The following is a 20,933-nucleotide window of genomic DNA, read 5'->3' on the forward strand; positions in this document are numbered from 1 at the left end:
GTTTCTGCTGAATTGTAGTCCTGTCCTCTTTAATGCTTACCATGTACAATCATTTATTCCACTGACTTTCTTATCACAATAATTACAGGTTGTGGGTGGTTAATATTAGTAGGGGACTCTTTTTATCAGTCTACATTATCATACTGACAAGGCCACTGCTTATCCTGCTTCCTTTAGCTGAGCTAGCCTGAATTTAAGAAGCTCTCATTCACTTGTGACTGCATTTAATTTCTAGTAAAAATGACTCATGTAAGTATATTAATTCTTATGAAGTCTTCCTATTGGTTTGTATATGAGATTTCAAATCTTATCAACTATACCAATATAGGAAAGTTAGGCCATTAATATCCTACACTTTATGAGACATTTGCTTTTTTTTCTGAGTTTGTCTAGGTATCTAAATCATTCTCACTAAACCCAAATGTACAGCATCCTTAAGTTAAAAAATGAAAAAGATGACTCATGGGAGCTGATTGTTAGGATCTCTTCCCAACTCCATGTTGTGGCATCATGTCAGTAGTATCAAATCAGCTATTTACTCCAAAGAAATTGGCAAATGCTACAAATCATCATCTTCATTCCCTCCTCTGACCTGGCTATTAAACATCACTCACCTAGAACTTTCATTGGAAAGAAATAAAAAATTCACACTAACATCAATGGAAAGGGACTAAAAATTATAACAAAGATTATACAAAATACATTTTTAATAAAGTTCTGCAAATCACACAGCATAGAATTTGTCAGTTTCAAAGGCATGATACAACTTCTTACCAACAGACAGAGGGTATTCTAAAGCAATGGATGTCTAAAAGGACAATCTTCCTAATAAATTAAATGAGTTGCTATTTATAAAATGCCTGCACATAGTTAATTGTAGTATATGTATGCACTACATAAATGAAAAGGAATTATACTTACAAATGTTATTAACTACCTACTAACTAAAGAAACCAACAGGCTAATCCTGAAAAGTAATTCAGTCATTATAGTTTGAAGGAATTCTTTCTCTTTGTATAGCGTAGTAAACTTACTGAAGCATTATACCTGCTTTTTTTTCCCTTGATACAACAGTTTCCAGATATAAATGAGAAAGGTATTTTGTTTTTAAACAGAGGAGAAATGTGTTTAAATAATTTACGTGGCCGGGCGCGGTGGTTCACGCCTGTAATACCAACACGTTGGCAGGTCAAGGCGGGGGGATCACGAGGTCAGGAGATCGAGACCAGCCTGGCTAACACGGTGAAACCCCATCTCTACTAAAAATACCAAAAATTAGCCGCGCGTGGTGGCGGGCTCCTGTAGTACCAGCTACTCGGGAGGCTGAGGCAGGAGAATGGTGTGAACCCGGGAGGCGGAGCTTGCAGGGAGCCGAGAGCGCGCCACTGCACTCCAGCCTGGGCGACAGAGCGAGACTCCGTCTCAAAACAAACAAACAAACAAACAAACAAACAAATACAAAAAATTAGCTGGGCGTGGTGGCACATGCCTGTAGTCCTAGCTACTCAGGAGGATGAGGCGGGAGAATCGCTAGAACCCAGGAGGCGGGGTTTGCAGTGAGCCGAGATCACACGACTGCACTCCAGTCTGGGTGACAGAGTGAGACTCCATCTCAAAAATAATAATAATAATAAATAAAATAACTTATTCAAGGACAAAATTTAAGTAATTTACACAAAATTGGAGTTATTTACACAAAGACAACAATTCAATATTGATTACAGTTCCACAGGAGTGATGGAACATCAATTTTTTTTTTTTTTTTTTTTGAGGTAGAGTCTTGCTCTGTCACGCCCAGGCTGGAGTGCAGTGGCGTGATCTTGGCTCACTGCAACCTCCAACTCCTGGCTTTAAGCCATCCTCCTTCCTCAGTCTCCCAAGTAGCTGGGATTACAGGTGCCCATCACCACATCTGGCTAATTTTTTGTATTTTTAGTGGAGACAAGGTTTCAGCATGTTGGCAAGGCTAGTCTTGAACTCCTGACCTCAGGTGATCTGCCATCTCAGACTTTCAATGTGCCGGGATTTTAGGTGTGAGCCACCGCACCCCGCCTGGAACATCAGTTTCTTTGGGAAGCTAAAGACAATTTTAATGAAGGAGTTGTTGAACGGAGTCATTTTATAGTATCATGTTAGTCCTATCTTCAAATTATATCTTTAAGAGTAAAAAAATAAAAGGCTAATATAGGATTCTTCAAAGGAAAAGGAGCTTGTTACTTGTACCACAGCCATTTCAAGGAAATACGTAGTGGAAAATCATTTTGACCATCTCTAATGTTGTGAAGACCTCCATGTGACTCTTGAAAACAAATATAATACTGCCTAGGGCTGGCTTCAAGTCACACTATATTTTATTCATATCAGTAGAAAAATAGATGTTTATATGTACAGTTACCTAACACTCTGTAGCCACAATTTCTGAAGAAGTTTCTTAATTAGTTGCAATGGATAAAATCCATGCAAGCCCTTAAACCTTGGGAACCTCTCAGGGAAACCTCTATTAACTCACCACTTGCTAGAAGGCAGCTACAGCTCAAAGGTTAAAGATTTGCATTCTGAGGTGTTAGAGTCACCTAGGGGCTCACCCCAGCTAGCCCTTGTCCTATCTTGGCCAGCCTTCCTCTCAGTAGGCAGCATGGTATTATGGAAGGAACATACTCGTTGGAACCAGATAAGGTGGAATAAAATGTCAAGTCTGTCATCTATTAGCTGTGCAAACTTCGGCACATTACCTAACTCCTCAAAGCCCAGGTCCCTCATCTGTAAGAAGGTGGATAATATGCTCCTTGAATGGCTGCTGTGAGAATTCAATTAATTTACCCAAAGCGTCAAGCATAGTGGATACGGCACATTTTAATTCCCCTTCTTTCTATCCTTCCTCCCCCAGCCCCTATCTCCATTCCCAGCATGAGAGAATTCATGGGTAATCTCATTTAATTACATCTAGCACGTATTTTCAGTGCAATCACTTAGTGCAAATGAGTCTCTTCCCAGTGTGGTGAAGATTATCCATGGTGAGATTCCCTGGACAGTACGGGGAAGGAGAACACAGATATGCTCTCATTCCTGGTGCAGAACAACTCAGCATGACACATGGGTCAAGAAGGAGCAAGGTGGATTGAGCATCCTCTCATGAGCCAAAACCTCAGGAAATGAAGGATTTATTCACTGTGAAGGAAAACAGAACAGGGAAACTCAACTTCTCCTACCAGAAGGTCACACAGCTAGTGATTTTTTTACTCCATTCAACAACATCCACACATGGAAGGTGAGTGTTCCCTGGACACCAGGCTACTAGGCAGAATGTCCAAAGCATATGCCGGAGTAAAGAGATGCAAAAGAATCCTAGCCCATCTCAACTATAACGTCTAGACAGTAGAGGTGTTCTTAAAGTGTGGGCCCCAGCCCAGATCTACTGAATACATGGTTCCCAGAAATTTTTATGTACACTACAATTTAAGAACGTATTCTAAGTGTTTATGTCTTTAAAATGGCAGTATGATGCAGTGGTTAAAGGCCTGGAATCTGAGAGCCAGACCGCCTACAGGAAATGCCTGGCTCCCCATTTCAGTAGCTGTGCAATCTCGGGCAGGGTTAACATCTCTATGCCTCAATCCCCTCATCTGTTAAAATGTGCAAAATAATAGTCCCTATCTCACTGAATTATTGAGAAGGTTAAATGAAATAATTTACCAGCAAACTGACGTCTAGTGACTGCCTCAAAAGTGGTAGTTATTAATGGAGTCCTTGCCTGAGAACAAAGGACACCAGGTGCTGCCACTGATGGACAGTGGGCAGGTTTCTGAATGACCCCTTCGAGTCTCCATTTCCTCATTTGTGAATCACCACAGTGCTATTCCTCTCTCATTCTGGGGATTTTATTTTTAGGAGAGAAAGACACAGCAGAACTTTATGAAGGGTAAAAAATATTTAAGAAACATATGTGATACAAAGACTATAAACTATGTTTTTGCCATATGTTGGTGGGGAAAGGGGTGCATCAGTCTGAACTGTTTTTATTTATTTATTTTTTTTTTTGAGATGGAGTCTTGCTCTGTCACCCAGGCTGGAGTGCAGTGGCACGATCTCGGCTCACTGCCACCTCCGCCTCGCGGGTTCAAGTGATTCTCCTGCCTCAGCCTCCCAAGTAGCTGGGACTACAGGCTCGCGCCACCATGCCCGGCTAATTTTTTGTATTTTTAGTAGAGACGGGGTTTCACCGTGTTAGCCAGGATGGGCTCCATCTCCTGACCTCGTGATCCCCCGGCATTGGCCTCCCAAAGTGCTGGGATTACAGGCGTGAGCCACCACGCCTGGCCCAGTCTGAACTGTTCTTTACCCACACCACTTCTGACACCAAATAAGTGGTTTTTGTCCCACACCAACCAATTCTCCAACTCTCTGGATACCAACTGGGCATCCTGTAATTCCTTTCGATTCTGACACTATCTGAAGTTAGCACAGACCCCACACATTAAGGGCTCAGTCCCACAAGACTTCCTCCATTTCAGACACCAACAGTCAGTCTGGGTCAGTTTTATTTCTGAGTGACCAGCTGTAAAGTTGGGAACTCTCACAGCTTCTTCCTTAGGTTCAATAATTTGCCAGAACAGCTCATGGAACTCAGGAAGGCACCTTACTTCTTATTGCTGGTTTGTTAGAAAGAACACAACTCAGGAACAGCCAGATGGAAGTGATGTATAGGGCAAGGTACGTGGGAAGTGGCACAAAGCTTCCATGCACTTTCGAGGTGTGCCACCCTCCTGGCACTTTGTTGTATTTACCAACCCAGAAGCTCTCTGAATCTCATTTTTAGGGGCTTTATGAAAGCATGATTGGTTAAATCATTAGGTGTTTGTAATTAACTTAATCTCCAGCCCCTTTCCCCTCCCCAGAGGTTGAGGAGTGGGGCTGAAAGTCCCAACTCTCTAATCATGCCTCGGTCCTTCTGGTGACCAGCTCCTATCCTGAAGCTACCTAGGGGCCCTCTAACAGTGGCCTCATTAGGACGAGAGATGCTCCTGTCATCCAGGAAATTCCAAGGGTTTTAGAAGCTTTGTGTTAGGAACCAGGAACACCTGCCAAATACGTATTTCTTATAATTACATCTAGCCACTGCTAGCTGTAGCGCAGCTATGACTAACCTGCATATACAAAATGAAAAATGTTTTGATGCTTCTTAGGGCCATTGACTGCTTATATATTTATGTCCAGTGAGCAAAGCACATGCAATTCAGCCAGTTAAGTGTAAGAAAAACCAGCCCATGACTACTCCACTTGCCTTTAATACAGTATATTTTACTCTTTTCCAGTCAGCTAACATAACTCAGAAAAATCTCCTAGGGGTTTTTTTCTCTTCTCAAAACTTACGCTCTTTCTCTTCCAGCAACAATCCTAATTATTTAGTGCATCCACAACAGAGATGCTTTTAGTGCTTCAGAGATATCATCCATTGAAGTTATTTCCGATGCTTTCATTTGCCACATAAATTTCTGAAACACTGCCTCCATGAGGAAATGTACTGTTGTTCCCGTCATGGGGTAAGACATTTCGCTTGGTGTTAATGTGCCGTCGGCATAATTTAAATTGTTTCATAAAACACCAATGTATGAAATGGAAACACATTTGTTTTGTTGGCAGATGGCTGTTTTATGTGGGGAAGTGGGTCTCATGGCTACACACTCACTGATGCCCTGCCAGTGTCTTCAACAAAAAGCATCGAGCTTAGACACCACCTGTATTACAGGAAAATGAGCAAAATCACTTCAAACTATTCACACTGATACTTTTCCCACAAATGTTAGAGAGAAGCATGCTAAAAAGAGATTTTATTTGTTTCCCAGGGAAGAAAGGAAATCAGAAGATTGAGTGTTACTGCCCTGGAAGACATCTTGAGATGAGTCATCTCAAGGAAACACTTTTCTAGGGCAGGAACTAATTTTCAACAACTACAACTACTTTCAGGGTTCATTTGTGTACTGCTTCGTGATCCTAGTGACAGGTCAATTTATATACAAAGTCCCCGTTGGGCTAAAATGATTTGTCTTTTCCAGCCCATACCTTTTGATTGGTTCTCCTTATCCCGTTACAACTCTCCATTTGCCATTCCATTGCCCGTTAACCTACAGACCTGGCCAGACATGGGGCGCGGAGATTTCATTCATTCATTTATCAGATATTTATTGTTTGCCTATATGTGACACAGACATGGGAAAAGTGGATGATTCACTCATGCTAAGTACAAAGGTGAATATAATGCATTGTTAGATTTCTAATTTTCATTTGTCATTCTACTGCATTAGAGGAGGCAGAGGGGAACATGAAGGGGGGATCCAACTGTATACATAAAAGGAAAACACGCAGAAGTCATTTGTCACCCCCAAATTAAAAGAAACAGCAGAATTTACTGGTATTTATTAGATACTTGCCATACATAAATACTGTGCTCCTTGGTGTAAGTAATTTAAATTGACAATCCTTGCCTTGTGGGAGTTTTATTCTAACATAAGTGACCTAAATTCAACCAACACTCTTCACAACTGCAGCCACCCCCTACCCACACAAACTGTCATAGTCTGCTCAAGGCTGCCATAATAAAATATCAAAGATTGGGTGGCTTAAATAACAGAAATTTATTTTCTCACAGTTCTGGAGGCTGAAAAGTCCAAGATCGAAGTTCTGGTAGGGTTTTGTTTCTCATGGGGGCTTCTCTCCTTTGGCTTGCAGATGCCACCTTCTCACTGTGTCCTCACTTGGTGGGGAGGGGGAGAGGAAGGGGTAGGGACACAGTCCTATGGGATTAGGGCCCCATGCTTATGCTTATGACCTCATTAGCCTTAATGATCTCGTAAAGACCCTATTTCCAGCTGGCCACATTAGGGTCTAGGGCTTCAACACATGGATTTTGGCAGGACCCAATCAGTCCACAGCATGTGTGGCCATGCATGTGCGTGCACACACACACACACACACACACACACACGGAGTACACTAAGCCAAGAGCTAATGCTGTGGTGGGAGCCCTGGTTATGAAATATTTACATTGAGGATAACCTGAGTCAGGCGTTGTGGTGCCAACCGTCTGCTACCAGGAGGAGAGATCAGCAACACCTCTTTTCATTTAGCTAGAAAAGGCTGTCTAGAGGAATTGGGATTTCCAGAGATCTTTGCAGGGCAAAAAAGAAAGATCTGAGTGACAGCAGATAGGATGGGAGGAGCAGAGGGAGCAGCAGCATGATCACAGTCAGAAGGGGGAAAGAGAGAGAGAGAGAGAGAGGCGAAGGAGGCCAGCTGGGAGGGTTCTTGTTTTCCTTTTGCTTTTCTCAGATGGTTTCTGAAGTGGTTTTCCTTTGTGTTCCTGACATAGTAAGCTAATCAGTGTTGTCTGTGTGTAGGTGTTCATTTTCCCTACTTCTGCTCACTTCTGGAGGCTGCTCCCCGGGGTTCTGAGGCATCTGCTTCTTGTTCTTATTTTGCTCCAGTCTCTACCCAATCTGACTGATTTACTCATTCTTCTGTACTCCTCCTGTTTCCATCTCTTTTACTTACCACCCCTAATTTATTCACTCAGTAGCACCCTGGCCCCTGCCAACACATACTGTCTTTAACTACTTTACCTTGAACTTCTCTCTGAAAATAGGACAGAGGTGATCAACTGAAACATTCTTTAAATGTGGGAACCCAGTCTTTGGGTGCTTTGTGCTGTTTTCGCCTCATCTTCCAAGCTTGTTTTGCCCTATAGACAGGCATACTGTTATTGACTCTTCTCCCCACCTTTCCATCCTCTCCTATGTTTTAGGACCTGAAAAGTGTATTATATTTATTTAAGGAATTGAAAGCAATTCCGATACATATGTACACATGCATGTGAGTATGCATACACACTCACACAAACATACAAGAACGTGTTTTCTTGGGTGATGGGGAAGCTCGAGTCACATTAAAGTGATTGATTTTTAAATTACCATGAGCTTTGATTCATTTATAGCCTGTGTCAATTCTTCATTCCCCCATCCCCACAGACCTGCTCACTTCTAGTGACAAAGCTGACAATGTGATTTGGTCCAGAGCTTCAGAGGTCTTGATTTTAGAGCCATAATATATGAAAACTGTTCTGTTGATTTCTTCTGCAGTTTTATAGCGTAGAAGAGCTTGAAAATAGAGTAAAAGCATCATTAGTGCGATCCCTTTGATTTAGGCCTGCAGAAAATTTCCTAATAAATTATGAATATGATGTCTGGAAGCACATGATTAGCTCATTAGCAAAGATTGTTTTCTTGCCTCAGCTGGAAAGGAGATAGAAGACATGTCATCTTGAAAAGGTGGGAGTGTCAGGCAAGGTCTGAGTGTGAAAGGAGACATTTGCAGAATGAATTGGGAAGTGCCTAAATATTTGCTGACATCACAATGTTGCCTGAGGAGGTACTGGGTTTTAGTCCTGGCTCCATCACTTTAGGCACCTTCAGCAAGTCATCAGTCTCTCTGCATCTTGGTTTTCTTGACTGCAATATGATGATAATAATAGGTCCTAAATTATATGGGTATTGGGAGGATGAAATGAGGTAATGTAGGCAAACATTTGGCAGAGTCTGGCTCGTTGTAAGTACTCAATTAATGCTAATAACTATTATCATGCAAGGATGATAACATCTTTTCCCCCATTTCATTTTGAAGCTCCTCCTTCTAAGACACACATAATAGAAAGTTCAAGAAAGCAATAGAAAAAAACCTTAGACCCTTAGGAAATATTATCTTTGTATTATCCCCAAACAAATTGGACTCCATCCAATAAAACACTAACAGTGTTCTTAGGAGGTTTATAAAATGTTCTCGAGCAGATGGATTCTAAAGTGCCTTGATATACTGGTGTAACTCAAGCAAACCTTACAAAGTTTCCTGACATTTCTCAAACCTTGAAACACTGGGCCTATGTCATCACCTAAATCTCACCCAACTTCACTCCTGGGTTCTCCCTATCTACTCTCCAAAACCAATTTCACCTCATTACAAATATTTTCTTTTCCTTCTCAGTCTCAGCTGGCTTATTTCTCCAAGTCAGTTATAATGTACAACCTCACATTCTTGGGTCAATTTACTGATATCGTATAACAATAAATTCACTATGTAAATCTCAAAGGGGCTTTCAGTTCTGCCTGGTAATCTTTCCACCACTTCCCTGGTACACTACCTCTCCTAATTTCTATAGTGACTATTTGAAACATCGCCAATCTCACATCAGAAAACCAAAGCTTTTTAAAGGGACCCTCTTGAAAATGACAAATCCACTGACCTAGACAACAGTCTTCATCTTCTTCTCTCCTGGTAGATTAAAATAGCTGTTCCTTCTATTATCTAAGATTTCAGTCCCTCTCCTCCAGTCTCCTCAAGAACCTGAGGTAGGTTACCCACTTTCTTCTCCTATGAATCATCTAACACCTTTCAAATGGATCCTTCCTGTCAACGTTTAAATATGTGCAGACCTTAGTCACCTTTAAGTATGTCTCTCTCATCTTCACATCCTAGTTTATCTTCCAGCACATATTCATCCTCCTCTCTTCAAAGACAAACTTGTTGAAAGTTCTCTCATTATTTTGTTGTTTTTGTTGAGATGGAGTTTCCCTCTGTCACCCAGGCTGGAGTGCAGTGGCCCAATCTCAGCTCACTGCAACCTTCACTTTCCAGCTTCAAGTGGTTCTTGTGCCTCAGCCTCCTGAGTAGCTGGGATTACAGGTGCCCGCCACCACACCTGGCTAATTTTTCTATTTTTAGTAAAGATGGGGTTTCGCCATGTTGGCCAGGCTGGTCTCAAACTCCTGACCTCGTGTTCCACCTGCCTCGGCCTCCCAAAGTGCTGGGACTATAGGGGTGAGCCACCACACCTGGCCAAGTTCTCTAAATTTTAAGTCTTTCTTTCCTGACCCTTCATCCTACTCAACCCCGTGAGTCTGTAATCTGTGCCATCATGGTAGCATTTGTCTAGGTAACCACAGACCTCCATATTGCCAAATCCACCGAACTCTCCACCACATTAGACACTGTAAATCACTTCCTTCTACAACCTCTCTTCTCTTGATGTTCATGGCCCCACTGCTCTAGTTTTTTTCCTATCACCCCCATCATACTTCACACTCTTTTGTAGGTTGATGCTGCTCTTCCAAGCCATTAAATACAGGAGCTTCTCCAGGATCAGTTCTAATACCTCATATATTCTCACTTTTTACTACTTTATCCACTCTTTACTGCTTAGACCCTTCAAATCAATATATCCAAGTGCCTACCAGATATACAGACTTAGATACTTCAAAGGCATCAAACTCATTCTATTCAAGATCAATTTTTCTCTTGTGCCAGCATTTTCTCTCTCTTTACTAGACACCTCTGTGGAAATAAACAGAGCATGCAAAGAAGAATAGGAAAAGGCCACTGATTCAGAGCGTGCTAGAGCAAGGGAGTCAGCCACCATCACTTGTGTCTGGCAGAGACTTGTGGGCAGGCAGAGGAAGGAGAAAGCTTTACCATAAAAAACAGAAAGGCTTTAGAGGTAGCCTGATTACAGGCTGTTGGAATGGGGAAGCTGTAGACAGGATAGCTAGAAGTGGACACCCTGTGTTATTGGTTAGGGGCATATATTTGACTGTTCAAAGTTGATCCTATCTTGAAAATGGGGGAAAAAATAGAGATGCTGCCAGTTATTAATCAAGTCCTGGCTGTTTAGAGCCTATTGTTACAAAGATATTGTTTGGCTTCCTGGACTGGTTGCCAGAGACAGTAGTTTGACTTCCTGGACTGGTTACTCTACATAGCAGGTTGGCTTCCTGGGGTGGTTACTGCAGATTGTGGGTCAGAGTTCATTTTTATCGATGGTCTGGCTGTGGTTCCTTTGTATATTCAGTTTCTCAGCTCCCTCAGTCCAGCTATGTGAGCCAGAAATGGAGGAGGCACTAGAGCATGCTAACAAGAATGTGAGCTCTGGAATCACACTGTGTTTATTTCACAGGTCCTTCACATATTTTCTGTGTGGCTTTCAACAAGCTACATAAATTTTAACTTTAGTTTACTTACAATAAACATGAGAGGAATGAAGACTTATCTGAGGCAGATACAGTCATTGCCTGCTACATAACAGCCACTACCCCTACTTGTTTTCTGAGAGTGTTAAAAGCATTACCCATTCTAAAGTTCTTTCTGCCAATAGCCTGAAATTTAAATTAACAGAAGTTCTATAATTTGAAGGCTGGCAGTGTTGTAATAATGCAATTATTTGGTTAAATTTGTGTAAACACAGAGGGAGAGGCAGGAGGTTCTGCTGAGAAAACAGTGTGGCCCCTGGCATCTTCCAAACACTTTCTCTTAATCACAAAATTCAAAGGAAGTGTCTTCCCATAAAACAGAATACACTGTTTTATATAGTTCTAACTGGATTCATTAAAATAAAAGCTACTGGGATTAGCAGGTGAAATGGGCCAGTGACCAGAAAACAGATATTCTCAAGGATTATGCACAACAGGGGAGAAAGTGATGTAACAACAGAAGCAGAAATTGGAGTGATGTGGCCAGGAGACAAGGAATGCTGTCCCACTCCAATGCTGGAAGAAGCAAGGAACAGATTCTCTCCTGGAGCCTCCAGAAGGAACAAGCCCTGCTGATGCCTTCATTTTAGTCACTCAAGACTCTTTTTGTGTTTTTGACTTTCAAAATTTTAAGAGAACAAATTAATGTTATTTTAAGCCACTACATTTGTGGTAATTTGTCTAGCAGCAATAGAAAACTAATATGTCATCCGTATTTTATTTACCTTGCAGAATATGAGGTCATTCAGAGTTTCCTGAATCTTTGTCCTAGGTTCTAGCTTTTTGCTGTTGGGTTATCTCAAATTAAATGCATTTTAACATGCAGATGTGAACAATAACCAGCAGATGATATGGAGTACCAAAGAAACAGAACAGAGAAATGGAGAAAGTAAAAGAACATGAGATCACAAAGAAGGCCTGATTATGCAATTATTACCTATGGGGGTTAGGGATAGCTGTACTGCAGCAGAGGCAATTGGAGCCAATATTACACAGTCCTTAAGCTAAAAATGCCAGAGGTAAGCCTGAGACCCAGTGCCGACTAATTTAATTAAGAAGATCTCTGCTGGAAGGTGTCTGGGAAAGAATTTTCTTCTTAAAGAGAGATGGATGAAGGTAAGACTTTTCCCTCCCTCCCTTCTTGTTGGGTATGTTTGGTGTGAAGATATGCCATACAGATCTACTGCACCTATTTGGGCACCATGAGGAAGAGGCCAACAAAATTCTAGAGAAGGCAACCCAGTGCTCTGGCAGTATTGAGGCTCCAAACCAGCCCTGGGTATGTATATTTCCAAGCTTCTTGTTATGCAGGAAATGAAATGTCTGTATCAACCAAGACATTTTTTAGTTAGGTATTTATTATTTGTGGCCAAAAGCATTATAATTAAATGCTGTGTTTCTTTTTTAAATAAAAGTTGTCTTCTAAATTCATCTAAAGTACTTGTTGCTAATCTCAGTTCAACAGACAAGTGATTTCTGAGACCTGACTTTGTGCCAGCACTGTGCTGGGCCCTTTTGGGAGGTATAAAAATGAACCAGATATAATCTCTGCACTCATGCAATCTATGATTTAACAAGGGAAGGGAAACATATTACAGGCAGAATATAATAAATCTTTTATAAAAAGACTAACAAAGCCATGAGTTGGAGCGAGAATGAGGCACTGGGTGGAGTACACTCAATACCCTGGTATACCAAGGACAGGATGGAGGGAGAATATTTAAAACAAAAATAAAGTCAACAAAAATTCAGTCTGCTTTTTATTATTATCACACTCTGGCAGTTCTAAACAAAGTTAATGATAAAATATTCCTTCCAGGAAAATATACTTTGTGGGTCTAACTTCTAGACAATTCTGTGGTTGCTGTTGGGTTTTAAGGATATACATGTATGTGGCCAGGCACTGTGGCTCATGCTTGTAATACCAGCATTTTGGGAGGCCAAGGCAGGAGGATCCCTTGAGGCTAGGAGTTTGGAGCTAGCCTGGGCAAGACCCCCATCTTTACCAAAAAAAATTAAAATTAAATAAAATTAGCCAGGCATGGTGGTGCAAGACTGCTGCCCTAGCTACTGGGGAGGCTGAGGCAGGAAGATCACTTGAATCCAGAAGTTCAAGGCTGCACTGAGCTATGGTAGTGCCACTGCACTTCACCTGGGCAACAGAGGAACACCTTGTCTCTAAAATTAATAATAATATACATATACTTTAACTTCATACATCTTTATTACTTATACTTTAATAAATATGCAAACTTGGTTGCATGTAATCATTTCAAGAACAAGTTTATAATAATTCAGAATTGTATGATGCTTTGAGATATTTCCCCTTGAATCATCTAAGTCAAGCAGACAGTTCCCATGTGAGGTGGATATTATTATCTCCATTTCACAGACAAGGAAACAAAGACCCAGAGACCTATGGGGACTGGCTTTTGGTAGTTAAATTAGTAAGTGAATTAGCCAGTTTTGGAAACAGAGCTATTTTTCCCCTACCATATTAATCTACCTCTTTAGCATTTGTGATTTCCCCAAAATATATGTGAGTAAAATGTGAATGTGCAAAAACAGATGTATAATCTAGTGGAGCCTCTTTAGATCTCTGGTATCAGAAAGGATTAACACCTCAGAGGAGGACACGGTATATCAGTCTTTTATTATCATAGTCATCCCTCAAGGAGTATCGTTTAACCAAAAGTGGATCAGTGTCTTCTGATAGAACTTTCTAGGTGATGGAAATTTTCCATATCTGTGCTGTATCTGTCCAATATGGTAGCTTTCAGTCATGGGTGACTTTTGAGTACTTGACATGTATCTAGTGTGACTGAGAAACTGAGTTTTTCATTTTACTTGATTTTAATTAATTTACATTTACATTTAAAGTAAACATATTCAGCAGTATAGGAATGCGTAATGTATTATTTATCTCTTCCAGAAAGTTCTACAGTGGAACTCTATCATATGTGCATTAAACTGAATTGAAATCATACGACTCAGCAAAATCAACATAACAACTGATGACAACAAAAACAGCCATATAAACAAAAACTGTTGGGCATTTTAAAAATACAGAATGGCTCAAAACTTAAATGCTTGATCTAGTGCTTAAGTGAAGAGAGTAATGTCTATTCTATCCCTTTATTCAATTTTCAAAAACAATTTTGATTTTATGTAATTTTTGTATTTCCTGCTGAATTTTGAACACAGGCTCTGCGTAAGATGCAACTTCTATGTGGTCTATTTGATGTAGATGGTAATTGAAACATATGGAGCATTTAGACAATTCTGCTTCATTCTTCCATTTCTTATGTCTTTTTCCTAAGGTCTCTAAAATCTATTTTATTCCCCAATATTCCATGAATCAATATGCCATTACTTTTAATGGCAAAAACCGCAATTAATTTTGCACCAACCTAATAGAACTTGTGAAAACAAGTTCAAAGAGGTTCTTTCTGTCATTTTTATCATTCTGAGAATATAGTCATATACATACTATAAGATATTGTTAATCTAGTAATCGATTGACTAGGAGTTTCCATTAAGTAGTACTGCTGCACACCAGTAGAACAATGATTAATTCTCTGTTGGATCCTGGAATGTCTTTGGAGGTTTCAAAACTTGTAACACTGTATTAAAGTATTCATATATTTAAAATTATTTAAAAATTTTATTTTATGGATAATTAATAAATCATGCATGTCATGTAAATAATTAAAAACATTCCAACTATAGTATACAACAGTGGTTCCCAAATGCCAGACCTTGGATTAGTGTACTCCTTATAATTTATTATCATTGCACAGAAAAGTGAGAAACATAAAGAGATAAAAGATGGTCTTATATTCTGTAATTATGTTCCTCTAAATTTTTTGGTGTTAAAATATCTGTTGGTAAAGTAAGCAAGCTTATGTAAGTCACTGAAATTCTTTGGAATCTCTTGGAAACACTGCTATTGAGCAAGAGTTCTTAAATTTAAGATTTCTTAAATTTCTTGAGATTTCAGGCTGTGGTCTAGTGAATCAGAGCCTAGAAATGAACGCAAAGCTTGCCACTGATTAAAATACATACTAATGTTTGAGAACCACAGATACAGAGCTAAGCATATAGGCTTTGAATCCAGATACTCTTAAGTTTGAAATCTTGCCTGGTTGTTTTCTAGCTGTGTAACCTAAGAAGCCTTCATTGTCTCACCTGTAAAATGGAAGGGCTGTTAAGAGCATAAAAACACTAATCATTGTGAAGTTTCTAACAGCAATTCGTCTAGAATAGAAACCTAAGACAGTTAGTTCCCTACCACTGCCCTTACCCTGACTATGCTAGGTGAGCGTCCACTGTATACTTTCATATGTGTATTTTGGTAGGCAGAATTTTAAGATGGGCCTCCAAGATTCCCAGCCAGTGATTATTCAATGATGTGAATCTAGGTACTGCTGTGAAGAAATTTTGCTCATGTAATTAAATTCCTCAAATCAGTTGATCTTAAAATATGATTATTCTTGTGGGCCTAATCTAATCACATGAGCCCCGTAAAAGTAGAGTTTTCTCTTGCTTGTTGCACAAGAGGATGTCAGAGAGATGCTCTTGGACAGGCAACTCTTGAAGAAAGGCAGCATCTGTGTTGTAAACTGCCCCTGGGCACTACATGGGAAGGACCTGAGGGTGGCCTCTAGCTGCTGAGATCAGTCCCTCACTGAAAGCCAGCAAGACAAAAGGATTTCCTTTCCACACTACTTGGAAATGAATTTTACACTAATGTGAAAGGGTTTAGAGGGAGGCCTTTCCTGAGTTGAGCCTCCAGATGAGGATGCAACTGGCTGACTTGATTTCAACTCTGTGATACCCTGAGCAGAACCCAATCATGCTGTGCCAGACTTCCAACCTACTGAACTGTGAGATAATAGATGGGCATTGTCTTAAGTTTCTAAGTCTGTGATAACTTGTTATGTGGTGATAGGACACATACACTATATACATATCATGGAATCATATGTTTATACTTTAAAAAGATGATATTCTTTGAAAAAAAATTCCTCCTGTTGTCTTTTTCACAAACACCTAAGCTTATATCTATAACATAAATAAGAAATGACGGTTTTCATTTTCCAAGGGACAAATGGAAATAAAAAGAGCATATCCACTATTTTGACATATCACCAAGGACTACATAAATGTATGCCTCTTTCACTCCATCTCCTTTAGTTTGTAATAAATCCTCTACAGTGAAACAACCTTCCTATCTTGCCCACAGGCTTAGCTAAACAATCTAGAAGCAACAGCAACTGAACTTTTAACTTGGTGAAACAGCAAGCCCCAAAGGTTTACAACTGTAAACAGCTTTCTCCCTTATTACTGTTGTTGACTTTTCGTTTTCTTAGTCCTTCTGTAGGGTTTGGGGTGGGGGTAGGATGGAGGTTACGGTGTTGGCATTTTCTGCCCTTCTGACCTGGACCAAGATCAAAATTTTCTTTGAAAAGGGAACATTAAGCTTTATATGTTGTTCAAGGTAAATCCCAATGGGTTTGGAGTGTTTAGATTAGGAACTTGGGCATTCATCCTAATTATATCTTCTAATATACTTCAAACAAAAATAAATCTTGTCTCTAGGCTCAATTAAGTTAGATATAATAGAAGCATGATGATCTCTTTTACAACCTGAAGCAACTACTCATGGGAATCTCTATTTCCACAGAAAGCATGTGATCATTCTCCCATGTAAACAGTGAGAATAACACCTAACATTTATTAAACACTTCCTTAGCCAGACCCTATTGAGGGCACCTTATGTGTGTTAATTTGTTTAACTGTCATAACATTTCTCTGAGAAAGGTACTGTAAATTCTAAACTTATGCCTTTTGTACAATGAGGAAACTACAGAGTATTTAAATAACTTGCCCCAAATCACATAGCTAATAAGTGGAGGAGTTCAGAACCTAGAAATTCCGGCTTTCAAGCTGTGTATTTAATACCTATTCTATTCTGAGACAAGATGCACTATTTCTCTCAAAATCTGCTGCATGCAAAATGCAGTGTTCGGTGGCAGATGCAGGGCCCTCGTGTCAAAGAATGTTGTCTCTACTTGGAGTGGTAAAATGTACAGGCATGAAACAACAATACATCTAAAACCAGTAACTGAGTCCAAACATTCCCTCTCCTTCACCACTGTTATTGGCAGTAAAAATGAATGAGATTGCCTGCTTTAAAACTTCTGCCTAGAGCCCAGACAATTCAATAAGTCACGGTAAAACAAACAGTACAGTTTAAGAGTTTATAACAAGATAGAAGCTTTCAGTTCAAGTTATGAGATAAAAAGGTCTTGAACGGTGATTCCCTAGATCCCTGTTCCTTTATCATATGTGCTTGGATCCAAAACACCCTGGGTTTGAAATGTTTGCATTAAAATGAAGGAAGGCAAAATTCACTTCTCTCAGTCCTGGGCTATTTTATTATTATTTGTTGTTTATTATTACTGGTGTCACCATTTTAAACTGTGTGTGTGAGTGCACACACAGGACTGCACATACATGTGGTTAAAAATAAACAAAATAAAGGCATAAAATGCACAAAAGGGATGTTCCCCATCCCTCTGGCGGAACAAATTTTAGAACTACTAAGTTTTCTTCTTGCCATGTTCCAAATGGGCTTTGAAAATACAACCAGCACAACTGTCTCACTCCTGACATAGGCTTCCTGAAGCTTGCATACTCAAAGTTCTGTAAATTAAATAATATCTTAAATAAAGAGGGTACCTATTTATAGACACATGTAATGAATCCTTTCTAATATAAATAACTGTTGTTGCAATGTTCCATTTTGGAAGTTAATATGTGTTACATTGGGTTTAAAGGAACTGCTCAGTTGTAGGCTTTCTCATCTCTCACCTGAACCAGAATGAAATCTTTCTAATTGCTTGCCCTTCCTTCAGCCTCAAAATATCCACCTCTACTCTTTCTCACTCCCAACTTCACTCTTCATATTGCCTAGAGAAGGGGCTCTTAACCTAGATTCATGGATAGAATTCAGTGGTCCATGAACTTGCATAAACATTGTCTTTATTTTCACTAATTTATTATTGAAATTTATTGTTTACATATGTTATGAATTGAGACAACAATCCACAGTATAATATTAACAGCAGTTGTGACTTTGTCACCAAACAAAATCAGATGTTTTTATATCTCATTATAGTTGCAGCAAATATTCCCACATATCATTTATAGTCACCACCATTCAAAATTACGATAGTTATTAGACTTGCTGCTAGATCTTGTTATTTAGTGTACTAATAAGAAGCACATATTTGCTGTATCATAATTTTTAGGAACTTGATAGCTGGATTTCCATGCAATTGGTCTCCTTTGAAATACTATGTGTCTGTTTTTTTTTTTTTTTTTTGAGTACTAATAAGGGATCCATAGGCTTTCCCAGAGTGTTAAAGAAGTCCATGGCACAGAATTAAGAAATTCTGTCTAGAAAGATATTTCTAAAACAAAGTCCACCTTAAGCTACTCCCTTAACTTAAATTTCTTCAGTTGCTCCAAGTCCACACCAATTAGCATCCAAATCCTTTGTGGCTCATAGAAGGCCTTCCGTGATCTCCAAGCCTCCCTCAGCTGCCTCATCACTGGTGTGTTCATCCTTGTACTCTACATTCCATCTGCTTCAAACTGTTTCAAGTTCCCAGATACACTGAGCCATCTCAGCTTTCTTGTGTTCTGGGCATGCTGTTCCTTCTGATAAAAATGTCTTTCCTCACTTTACTGCTGGTAAATCCTACTTATCCTTTGAGGCCCAGCTCCAGGTAGCCTCCCTCTTGACACTCTGTCTGACATACTGGGTCTTTATGCTTTTCAGACTCAGGACAATCACTCATTTCTTTGCTCCACTCCAGTACACTCTGCCTGGGCACAGAGTGTCACAGTTATGCATTTACAAGTTACTTCCTTTAAAAGTGAGTATGGGAGCTCCTTGTACCACTTGTGCTACAATGATGCCCAGCACATTGTGGTCCTTTTGTGCATATGGGCTTGACTCTTGTCTACAACTGTTAAATGAAGAAGTAAATTTTGAGTTGGCCTACAAGCTGGTGTTCTAGTCAGTGTAGGGCTCTCTACTGTGTAGGATGTGGGACTACCTAATTTGCTTTGCTGATAGCTTCTTTGTGAAGCAGGGCTTCTACACTCCAAATATTAGTGATGAATTCTCCTGGTCCCTCTGGGTAGATTAATTCTGCCCCCAGCCCGTTCATTCAGCAAATATTTATGAGAGTCTACTATGTGCTGGGTACTGTCTGGGGATTCAGCAGTGAATGAGCCCTGTTCCTGTTCTCTTGAAGCTTATAATGTAGAGCAACACTGTCTAACAAAACTTTCTGTGGTGATGGAAATGATCTATAATATCTGCACTGTACAATACAGTAGCTGCTAGCCATATGTGTGTACTGAGCACATGAAATGTGACTAGTATAACAGTAGAACTGAATTTTTAATTCTATTTAATTTTAGCTAATTTAACTTAAATAACCATATGTTGGCAGTGGATACCATATTGACAAAGCTATTCTAGAGGGTGTGTGGTAGAAATGAGTAAGTGAATAGGAGTGTGAATAAATAAATCAGAAAACAACCAAAAATAAATTTTAAAAAATCTTGGATATTGAAAAGTGCCAACACAACAGTGATGTTGAGTCACTGAGGTGTCGGGAAGGTATTACCTTCCTTTGAGGAGGTGACATTTGGGTTGACACTTGAGTATCAGAAACATTCTGCAATGGGAAGAAATGATAGGAGAACTCTAGGCAGAGAGAACAGAAACAAGTACAAACCCCCAAGAGATTTATGTGCTTGGTTGAGGGACATAAAGACCAATGTACCTGGTGTGCAGTAAGTAAGGGGTTGCGGCAGGACCTGAGGGCATAGAGGAGCTGGTACCATATTGTAGGACTCTGTAAACCAATGTAAGGAGTTTGGATTTTTTCCAAGTACAATGGGAAGTCATTGGAGGGTTTTAAGTGAGGGGACATCATAATTTTATCTGTATTTCATAAAGCTCATGCTGATGGCTGAATGAAGAACTGACTGTGGAATGGAAACCAGGAGTCTGGTCAGAATGATTACAGTACAGGTGTGAGGTGATGGCAGTTTTACATTAGGGTCATGGTAGTAGCCGTGTATAGAATCGATATGTATTCTAGAAGTAGAGTTAACAATATTTTCTAATGGGCTAACTGGGAGGGGGTAGCAACAAAAAGAGGAATCAAGAACAACTCATAGAATGGGCGCTTTAGCATTGGATGATCCTCCTATTGACTGGGATAATAATTGGAAGAGGGGCAGGCTGAAAAATCAAAAGGTTCAGTTTTGGATATGCCAAGTTTAAAATACCGATTAGCCATCCAAATGGAAATGCCAAGTCTGGAGTTCTGAATAAAGGTCAGAACTGGAAATGCAGATTTGAGAGTTACCAAGTCGAGATGGTCTTTGACACCAAGGGGGTGCGTGAGATTATCTGTGGAAGGAGCACAGGCAGAAAGAAAGCGCTCCACTGCAGTGAGCTGAGATTGCGCGACTGCACTCTGGCCTGGGCGACAGAGTGAGATTCCATCTCAAAAAAAAAAAAAAAAAAAAAGAAAGAAAGAAAGAAAGAAAGCACTCCAGGGGGATTGAGGATGCTGACCAGCGTTTGGGTAGGGTAGCAATTCCCTTCTGATTAAGATTCCTCTCTCCTGGGGGGAAAACAGGCAAATTGCAAGAACCTGGCCATCAGAGTCCCAATGACATTCATGTCACAGAGGCATACTGTGATTGTTGCACTGAGCAAAATGGGTACAACTAGGGAGTGAGAAAATGACCAGTTATTAACGGTCACTA

General features: G+C 40.0%; 1 protein-coding gene and 1 long non-coding RNA gene across 15 annotated transcripts in view; one reads left to right on the plus strand and one right to left on the minus strand.

Moving 5' to 3' along the window:
• The window catches only part of TRPM3 (transient receptor potential cation channel subfamily M member 3), a 917,912-nt gene that overhangs the window by 444,055 nt on the left and 452,924 nt on the right, over positions 1–20,933 (minus strand). The window lies entirely within an intron of this gene.
• LOC124902180 (uncharacterized) lies at positions 12,096–14,156 on the plus strand. Its single transcript, XR_007061575.1, has 2 exons — positions 12,096–12,185; positions 14,002–14,156. It is a non-coding gene; the product is annotated as an uncharacterized LOC124902180 (long non-coding RNA).

This window comes from Homo sapiens, chromosome 9, assembly GCF_000001405.40.
Source record: "Homo sapiens chromosome 9, GRCh38.p14 Primary Assembly".
Lineage (NCBI taxonomy): Eukaryota > Metazoa > Chordata > Mammalia > Primates > Hominidae > Homo > Homo sapiens.